Source organism: Homo sapiens, chromosome 1 (assembly GCF_000001405.40).
Source record: "Homo sapiens chromosome 1, GRCh38.p14 Primary Assembly".
In the NCBI taxonomy this organism is placed as follows: Eukaryota; Metazoa; Chordata; class Mammalia; order Primates; family Hominidae; genus Homo; species Homo sapiens.
In genome coordinates, this window is record NC_000001.11 from 19264612 (window position 1) to 19274228 (window position 9617).

Sequence of the window (9617 nt, forward strand, 5' to 3'; positions counted from 1 at the left end):
AAGCAGGTCAGAAATGAAGCAAGTAGGGCAGCCCATGGCAGCCTGAAGTTTCAGGAACTCCCCTCCTCATGAATTCCCATGTGCAAAATCTATGTCACCTCCTTCTCCAGTCTTTTTTTTTTTTTTTTTTCTTTTTTGAGATGGAGTCTTGCTCTGTCGCCCAGGCTGGAGTGCAGTGGCATGATCTCAGCTCACTGCAAGCTCCACCTCCCGGATTTACGCCATCCTCCCGCGTCAGCCTCCCGGGTAGCTGGAACTACAGGCGCCCACCACCATGCCCGGCTAATTTTTTGTATTTTTAGTAGAGACGGGGTTTCACCATGTTAACTAGGATGGTCTTGATCTCCTGACCCCATAATCCGCCCGCCTCGGCCTCCCAAAGTGCTGGGATTACAGGCGTGAGCCACTGCGCCTGGCCCTTCTCCAGTCTTTTATACAGCACAGAGCAGTTTCCTTAGTTTGAGGATGAATAAATATATATTAGACGCTCTCCAGATCCAGCTCTGCTCCTTTAGGTCTTTTTGTTCCTTCTCATTTGTTTTTAAATTAACAAATACGAATTGTATATATATTTAAGGTGCTGTTTGGGAACTGTCTCTTGAAGAAGCTCTTTAGATATAAAATGGCTGAGGGAGGAGGTGGAGTGGGAAAAAAAGAAGAGAAAAAAGATATGAAATGGCTGAATTCAAGTGGACATCAACTATCTTTGAGATATAGTATCCAGAAGATTCTAATAGGTGGGATGTGGCATAGCAGAGAATGCATCCCTGATGGGGATACTCAAGAGTCTCAGCAGCTCCTGGGGCTCATCTCGACTTGACCACTCAGGACCGTTGCTCCCAGTGTTACAGTTTATTTTCCTAAGATAACCACCCCATGCTCTCAAATGCTCTTTGTACAGGTATCTTTGACTCCCCTCCCAGGACACAAGAGTGATGCTATGGACTCCTGAGGCTGGGACATAAAAGGCCACATGGCTTCTGCCTAGATTGCTTGAGATGTGCTCCCTTGGAAGCCACATGCAGAGGCCACATGTGTGCCAGTTAATGACAGCAGCTGATAAGTGAATGTCTTCAGGTGACCCTAGCCTACAGCTGCTAAATCACGCCTCAGACACCGGGGAACAGATGAGGCTTCCCCCACTGAGTTCTACCCAAACAGTGGGTTTGCCACCACCCAGCTAATTTTTGTATATTTTGTCAAGATGGGATTTCACCATGTTGCCCAGGCTGCTCTTGAACTCCTGGATTCAAGCAATCCCCTTGCCTAGGCCTCTCAGAGTTCTGGGATTTCAGGAATGAGACACCGTGCCTGGCCTGTTTTGTTTTTTAAAAACAACAGTATTGAGACATAATTCAGACACTATACAGTTGACTTACTTAAAGTGATGTTTAATGCTGTTTCATGTATTCAGAGTTGTACAACCATCACAATCAATTTCAGAGCATCTTCATAAGCGCCCCCAAAAGAAACCCTGTACTCATTAGCAGTGAATCTCCATTTCCTCGCAATCCTCCTCCCAGTCCTAGGCAAGTACTCATCTACTTTCTCTCTCTCAAACAGATTTGCCTATTCTGGACATTTCATATAAACGAAATCATACAACGTGAAACCTTTTGTAATTGGCTTCTTTAACTTAACACGTCTTCAAGATGCACTTACCTTGTAGATGTTTAACTACTTCTGTCTGTGTATTTGTTTGTTTGTTTGTTTGTTTGGAAACAGGGTTTGCTCTGTCGCCCAGGCTGGAGTGCAGTGGCACAGTCATAGCTCACTCCAGACTTGAATACCTGGGCTCAAGCAATCCGCCCATCTCAGCTTCCCGAGCAGCTGGGACTACAGGTGTGTGCCATGGGGCCCCAGTAATTTTGTTTTTATGTTTAGTGGAGACAGGGTCTCGCTTTGTTTCCCAGACTGGTCTGGAACTCCTGTCTTCAATCAGTCCTACTGCCTTGGCCTCTCAAAGTGCTGAGATTACAGGTGTCAGCCACTCTTTTTTTTTTTTAATGGCCGAATAATAGTCTGTTGTATAAATATACCATATTTTGTTTATCCATTTATTCATTCTTGGACATTTGGGTTGTTTTTACTTATTGGCTATTATGAGCAATGATAATGTGAAATCTCATACCCAAGTTTTTTTGTGGGGAGATATGTTTTCATTTCTCTTGGCTACATACCCACAAGTGGAACTGCTGAATCCTATGGTAATTTTATGTTTAATCCTTTGAGAAACTGCCAAACTGTTTTCCAAACTGGTTGTACCATTTTACATCCCCACCATCAGTGTGTGAATTTCCTCCCCTGTCTGTCTCTTGCTCCCTCTCTCACCATGTGACACGCTGGCTCCGTTTCCCCTTCTGCCATGATTCTAAGCTTCCTGAGGCCCTCACCAAGAGCAGATGCCGGCACCACACCCTCTTGTACAGACTGCAGAACTGTGAGCCAAAGAAACCTCTTTTCTTTATACATGACCCAGTCTCAGGTATTCTTTTATAGCAACGCAAACAGACTAACACACAGCACCCTGGGAGATTTTATTCTTCCTTAGGTGGTGACTCTACTGTTAGGTTTTTTTCCAAATACTTCCATCCCTAAGAATTTAGTGAGGCAGTTCTAAATTAGACAAAGCGGGAGAGAGCAAAAGAGTTGACAGAAAAGCCTTGGGCAGCCTGAGCCACAATGAGCTTAGATGAAGTAGTTGGGACATTCGTGGGCAAACAAATGCCAGGCTTGATTAAAGGCGTCCACGACAGCCGGCTCCAGGGGCCCTTCCTCTGCCGCTGCCAAGTTCTGCTCCAGCTGCTCCAGGCTGGACATGCCCAGGATGACCGCGTCCCCGTGGGCACCCTGCAAGGGAGACGGCCAGACTTCAACCCTCTTCTGCTGCACAGCGACTCCACTCACAGCTGTCCCAGCCACCTCCCTGCTGAGATTTGGGATCTCTTGTATCCCATATGTCCAGAAAGAACTTAAGGTGCCTTGGATAGCTGTACCCATGTGACGCAAAACCTGTATCCCTTCCCCTACTGCCACACGACGCTTCCAGACAGACCTACATTCACAGCCCAGTTCTGCCCCCCAGCAGCTGTGTAAACGCGGCTAAGTTATTAAACCTCTCTGAGATTCAATCCTCTTTTCTATTTTCAACATGGTTATGGGTGTGAAAAATTATGTAGAGCACTTAGCTCCCATTTATTGAGCACCTACTGTATATATGCCAGACACTATTGCAACATCTAAGGCTGGAGTTGGATATAAGTGAGGAAGACATGAGGCACTGAGAGAGGGAAACTCCAGCTCCCACCAAAAGGATGAGGCTAGTGGGCTTTACAGTTGAACCTGTGTTAAAATGTCTTCCCCTTTCATAGCTGGGTGAAACTCAGTTTCCTCATCAATAACACTGGGATAGTCATTTCATAAAGCTGAAGGAATAATGAAATCCCTGCAGTGAAGCCCTCATTACAAAGCCTGGCACTCAGATACCATCAAAGACCAATGGGAAGGCCGAGCGCAGGGGCTCACGCCTGTAATCCCAGCACTTTCAGAGGCTGAGGAGGGCGAATTGTCTGAGCTCAGGAGTTCAAGACCAGCATAGGCAGCTTGGCGAAACCCCATCTCTACTATAAATACAAACAATTAGTTGGTCATAGTGGTGCGTGCCTGTAATCCCAGCTACTCAGGAGGCTGGGGGAGGAGAATTGCTTGAGTCTGGGAGGCAGAAGTTGCAGTGAGCCGAGATCATGCCACTGCACTCCAGCTGGCATAACAGAGCGAGACTCTGTCTCAAAAAAAAAAAAAAAAAAAAAAAAAAAGACCAGTGGGAAGAGTGTTTATGAGAGTTGGAAGAAAGAAATTTCAGAGGAATCGAGAAAACAAATGCTTTGGGCTTCACCTGAAGGTAATGAATGCTGGTTCCCCTGGAAGGGAAGAAGCTGAGCACCCAGGGTCGCTGGTTACCTGCAGCTGTGAGTGGTGGTACATCCACCGGAGGGCGGCCGAGGTCATGCTGGGAGCGCTGGCGCCATACGCGGCCTGCAGGGCCTTCTCCACCAGGGCAATGCCCTCGAAGTGGTGCTCCTTCCAGAAGCTGTTCAGTGGGGATGGTGGCACAGGGGTCAGTACCATCAGGGTCACACTGGAAGCCACAACCAAAGAGCCATCCAAGGCCACTGCCCCACCCCACACCCTGCAGCCCTGAGGGGCGGGTGTCCTCTCTAGTCATAGGTCTCTCACTTTTCTGGGCATCAGAACCACCCAGGATGCTGGGCCCCTCAGCAGAGACCTCAACGAATCTTTATTCCTGAGAACTCAGCAGCCTGCTCTCATTTCCCCTACGGACATGAAGGCCACTGAGACAGGTCAGGACTCAGCCCCAGGCCTCCTGGACCTCCTTCCAGGGCTCTTTCTTTCCTTTGTAGCGGGTGATTGCTCAGGAAAGAGCTACGACTTCAAGACACCGAGGTCCAGGGAGTCTCCTTTCCTCCTGGAGGTCCCAAGACAACAAGAAAACCCACAGAGGGCTTGGGAATTCCTGAAGGAATGCAGGGGAGTAGGTGCAGACAGCGAGGAAAGGCCTTACCCCAGGAGCAGCCCAGGACTTCATTCCACATAAAGCTGACCCCACCCCAGCCATCCACATCAAGCACCCCCAACTAACTGATTCCTGTAGATCTCTGCCCACTGAGTCCCAAAGAAGCGGCCCACGGGCTGTTTCCCGTCCTTGTCCTCATACTTGTACTTGCCGGTCAGCAGGCCCCCTGCGGGAAGGCAGCAATCAGCCCCCGGGCCCAGAGTGCCCCAGAAGCTGCCACATCCCTCAGGGCTCTGGTCTAGGGGAGGGGCAGGGACCCAGGAGGGCTGAAGGATGCAGCCCAGCCTCTTGTCAAACCCTCCCTTCTTCCCAGGTCCTGGGCTGGGCATCTGTGGGTCGGGAATAGGCTGAGTCAGGGCCAGGAATGCTCCACGTACCAGCCAGAGGGTTGTAGGCATAGAACCTCAGTCCAAAGTGCCTGAGGCAGGGGAAGAGCTCCGTTTCCACCTGCCGGGTGGTGGCGCTGTACATGCCCTGTAAGGAGAAGGGCCCCGGGGAGAGGGTGGATGTGTCAAAAGAAGGGACCTAAATTTACCCTCATAGAACCCTTATTTCAGACCTTAACAATTCTAGGATTTTAACCATCTGGGCATATACTTATTCTTACTGGTGCTGGTGAAAGGGGCTTATGCCCTAGGAAAATTCATTCATTCTGCCAACTTTCATGAGCACCAACTGTGGGCTGGTTGTCAGATTTAGATTCAAAAGCTAAAAGGACAAGGTCCCTTCCCTCAAATATTTTGTAGTAAGGTCAAGCATAAACAGTTATAATCGAGTCATGAGGCAATCATAATAGACTAGAAAGTTCTGTGACCAGTGCCTGGCACCAAGCAGGTGTGCAAATATTTGTGCAATGAATCATGAGGAGGTAAACAAGGACCTGAGGTCTCAGGGTCTTCTGGGCCCATCTAGAAAGGCTTCCAGAGGAAGAGACACGTATGTGAGACCTGAACCATTCTCTCACAGAAGGGGCGGTGGTGGGGGAAGGGCTTGTTCCAGGCTGAGTGCAGGGGAAGGTAGGGAAGGAAGGGTCCAAGGTGCACAGATAGGCAGGAAGGAAGCAGATGCCCAGTGGCCAGCCTGAGGAGCTTGAATGGCATCCTGAGGGTACCTGGGAGCCATCTGCAGGCTTTCAGCAGGGGAGTGGCTGCTATGCAGAGGGCATGGGGGCAGTCAGAGGGGCAAAGACAGCCCAGGATGAGCAGGAGTTCTGGAGACCTTGGCCTCTGCAGCCCCGGCCCTCACCTGGTACACAGTGGGCAGGATCCAGCCGTTGCTCTTGCAGAGGGTACAGATCTCGGCCACTTCCCAGGCGGCATAGTTGGAGAGGCCAAGCTCCACGAACTTGCCCTGCTCGGGTGAGGCTCCAGTCAGAACATAGTGCAGCCCAGACCAGGAAAGGGAGGTCAGGGTGGGGCCCCTGGGAGTTGGGCTGTTCCCTGCTCCACCCTGGAACTGCCCTGGTGCCTCTGCTCTCACCATTAGGATCAGGATAAGGAGAGCAGCAGTGGACCACCTCCCAGAGCTCAGGGGTCCCCTCACCTCCTGGTGCAGCTGGTGGCAGGCACGCAGTGTCTCTTCCACCGGGGCGCTGTGGTCAGGTGCATGTAGATAGAAGAGGTCCACTCAGGGACACTGCAGCCGCTTCAGTGACGTCTCCAGCTGGGATCGGACACTGTCAGGCTTCAGGGAGTTCCCAATCCATGGATTGGCCTTGGTAGCAATTTTCACTGAGAGGAAAGAGAAATGAAAATTCAGGGCTGGATGTGGTGGCTCACGCCTATAATCCCAGCACTTTGGGAGGCCGAGGTGGGTAAATGACCTGAGGTCAGGAATTTGAGACCAAGCTGGCCAACATGGTAAAACCCCATCTGTACTAAAAATACAAAAATTAGCTGGGGGTGGTTGTACACGCCTGTTATCTCTGCTACTTGGGAGGCTAGGCACAAGAATTGCATGAACCAGCCGGGTGCAGTGGCTCACACCTGTAATCCCGGCACTTTGGGAGGCTGAGGCAGGCAGATCACAAGATCAGGAGTTCGAGACCATCCTGGCTAACACGGTGAAATCCCGTCTCTACTAAAAATACAAAAAATTAGCCGGGCATGGTGGTGGGCGCCTGTAGTCCCAGCTACTCAGGAGGCTGAGGCAGGAGAATGGCATGAACCCGGGAGGCGGAGCTTGCAGTGAGCCGAGATCGCGCCACTGCACTCCAGCCTGGGCAACAAAGCGAGACTCTGTCTCAAAAAAAAAGAAAAAAAAAAAGAATTGCATGAACCTGGGAGGTAGAGGTTGCAGTGAGCCCAGATCGTGCCATTGCAGTGAAGCCTGGGTGACAGAGCAAGACTGTCAAAAAAAAAAAAAAGAAGAAGTAAGCTTAACACTCTTCTCCCTGCCCCGTATTAAGAATCCTAGTTGGAGGCTGGTTTCAGTGGCTCAAACTTGTAATCCCAGCTACTGGAGAGGCTGAGGCACAAGAATCGCTTGAACCCAGGAGGCAGAGGTTGCAGTGAGCCGAGATCTTTCACTACACTCCAGCCTGTGTGCCAGAACAAGACTCTGTCCCCCCCGCAAAAAAAAAAAATCTTAGTTGGAGATTAGGCACAGTGGCTCACCCCCATAAGCCGAGCACTGAGAGAGGCCCAGGAGGGTGGATCTCTTGAGCCCAGGGATTTGAGACCAGCCTGGGCAAAATGGTGAAACCCCATCTCTACAAAAAACACAAAATTTGGCCAGGCATGGTGGTACATGCCTGTAATCTCAGCTACTGGGGAGGCTGAGTTGAGAGGATCACATGAGCCTAGGAGATCAAGGCTATAGTGAGCAAATATTATGCCACTGTACTCCAGCCCGGATGACAGAATGAGACCCTATTTCAAAATAAAAATAAAAATAAAAAATCCTAGATCCTAGTGGGCTGGAATAACAGGTGAGTGGAGAGTCCTCTTCCCACTTTTCACACTTAGAAAGTCACTTAGGCTGGCAAGAGGGCAGTCACTAGAGCCCTTGAGACCTGGGAGGGAGCAGGTTTGATGAATTATTCATTTGGAATTTTTCCATTCCACCACCACCCCTCTGCTTCTCAATGTGAACTTAACTTCAGATCTGAGATCTGAGGACTTTCACCAGCCAACCTTGGACTCAAAGACAGAAGACAAGGATTAAAAAAGTAAACAAAAAAAAAATCAGAAATAAGGGCCAGGCAGAGGGTGCAGATCTGTGGTGGCTCACACCTGTAATCTCAGCACTTTGGGAGGCCAGGGCAGGAGGATCACTTGAGCCCATGAGTTTGAGACCAGCCTGGGCAACAAAGTGAGACTCTGGTTTCGATGAATAATACAAAAAATTAGCCAGGTGTGGTGGCACAGGCCTGTAGTAGTCCCAGCTACTAAGGAGGCTGAGGTGGGAGGATCGCTTGAGCCCTGAGAGGCCAAAGCTGCAATGAGCCATGATTGCACTCCAGCCTGGGTAAAAGAGCAAGACCCTGTATCAAAAAAAAAAAAAAAAAAAGACCGGAAATAAGATCAGAGCTCTCACCGAGTGGCAGCCAGGTGATCTAGAAAGAGTGTGGCACTGAAATGCACGCACAGGCCTCTTTTGTTTGGGATGTACCATGTGGTGAATCAGAGGAGAAATGGACAAGACTCCACTCAGACACTCAGAGTGGAAGGAGGCAAATGGTGCTAATATTAAGAACAAAGAAACAGCTAACATTTCCCAGCCCTCACTATGTGCCTGCCAGGCATCGGCCTAAGCACTGCAAATGGCATCAGACTGAGGGCGGCTCCTCCTGCCCCTTTACACACATCTTCCCCTCGGGCTACACCTGCTTCCCCCAGCACCGGCGGCATTGCCAAGTCGCATTTGCCTTTCCACACCCATGCCCACTGCCCTGACGCCCTTGCCCCTTGTACTCTTCCTGGCAAACTCCTATCCTATCTTTCTTCACGGGGTCCCTCCCAAGAAGGGCTCACTCGGCTCCCCAGCCATCGCTAGAATTGGAGATTCCTGGAGTGGGTTAGTGTCCATTTCTCTCCAATAGCCTCAGACAGAGCATCCCACAGAGAGGGCAGCGAGACCCTGTACCACACCCAATTCCCCATCTCACTGAGGGAGCTGCCAAGGCTCCCAGGCATTGTCACCCTGGTGAGTTACCAGAGCAAAGTCCAGGGACCCGAGCAGTCTGGCATGAGCGTAGGAGGAAGCAGATAGTGTGCTGGGTCCAAACTCTGATTTTGGACTGTGCCAGGCGATAAGAACAGAATTTCTGCAGATCAGGCCCGTCAAGGGCACCTGAAGGGCACAGGTGGGGACAGGAGCTGCACAATGCTAGATTCCAATGTTTTTCGTGCTCCAGAGAGGGGCTAGCCAAGTCATTCCAGGCAAGACCAAGTCATCCAGGCGTCAGTGAGGGTGCTGGGCTACCTCCCGGAAGAGAAGACGACAGAAAAGGAGTCCGGACAAAGCACCATCCAGTTGTCCAGAGCTAGATGTGCCTGAGGAACTGGCGGTTCCCAGAGTTGCGGTGTGGACAGGGATGGGGTGGGGGACGAAGCCGTGGGTGCTGCCCGGGGCCAGGGAGAGCGGGGCAGCGCACGGCTGGTGACAGGCTCAGCTCTGCACCGTGCAGAGGGAGGATCAGGGGCCACTGTTACCTCTGCAGTCGCTGCTGCCCATTCGGAGCCCCAGGCCGCCAAGGATGGTCTCGGACTGGCCGTCGCTGTACAGGAAGGCCGTGTCTATCTCGGTGTGGCCGCGCTCCAGGAAGGCGCGCGTGACTGCGGCGCTGGTGGGCGCGTCCATGCGGCGCCCCATCTCCATGGCGCCCAGCACCGTGGCTGGCCGGGCCCGCGACAGCTGCCGGGACATGACGGCGGCAACGGGAGACTGTGACAGCCCAGGAGCCGCGCGCAGCGGTCGGAAGCACCAGGCTCGGAGCGGGCGGCCTCGTGGCTTTAGGGACTGGCTCGGGCCGCGCCCACCGGTGGTGGAGCGGAGGGCGCGGCCAAAGGTGCCCAACGCC

At 51.6% G+C, this 9617-nt stretch overlaps 1 pseudogene across 2 annotated transcripts, besides 1 other annotated feature; it reads right to left on the reverse strand.

Annotated features, from left to right (window-relative positions):
* Positions 1-1370: 1370 nt before the first annotated feature.
* Positions 1371-9511, reverse strand: AKR7L (aldo-keto reductase family 7 like (gene/pseudogene); annotated as a pseudogene). 2 transcript variants are annotated; one of them, NR_040288.2, is made up of 7 exons: positions 9250-9511; positions 6137-6324; positions 5840-5944; positions 4972-5068; positions 4661-4760; positions 3961-4090; positions 1371-2850 (listed from the first exon to the last, which is right to left on the reverse strand). The product of NR_040288.2 is annotated as an aldo-keto reductase family 7 like (gene/pseudogene), transcript variant 1, noncoding (transcript). The 2 variants fall into 2 exon arrangements; NR_040289.2 differs by lacking the exons at positions 4661-4760; positions 4972-5068.
* Positions 4436-5284: an enhancer, noted in NCBI's record as "H3K4me1 hESC enhancer chr1:19595541-19596389 (GRCh37/hg19 assembly coordinates)". NCBI's record gives its function as "activates a minimal SCP1, AML or CMV promoter by ChIP-STARR-seq in naive H9 embryonic stem cells {active_cell/tissue: H9 hESC(naive)}" and the evidence as "EXISTENCE:reporter gene assay evidence [ECO:0000049][PMID:30033119]".
* Positions 9512-9617: the final 106 nt, after the last annotated feature.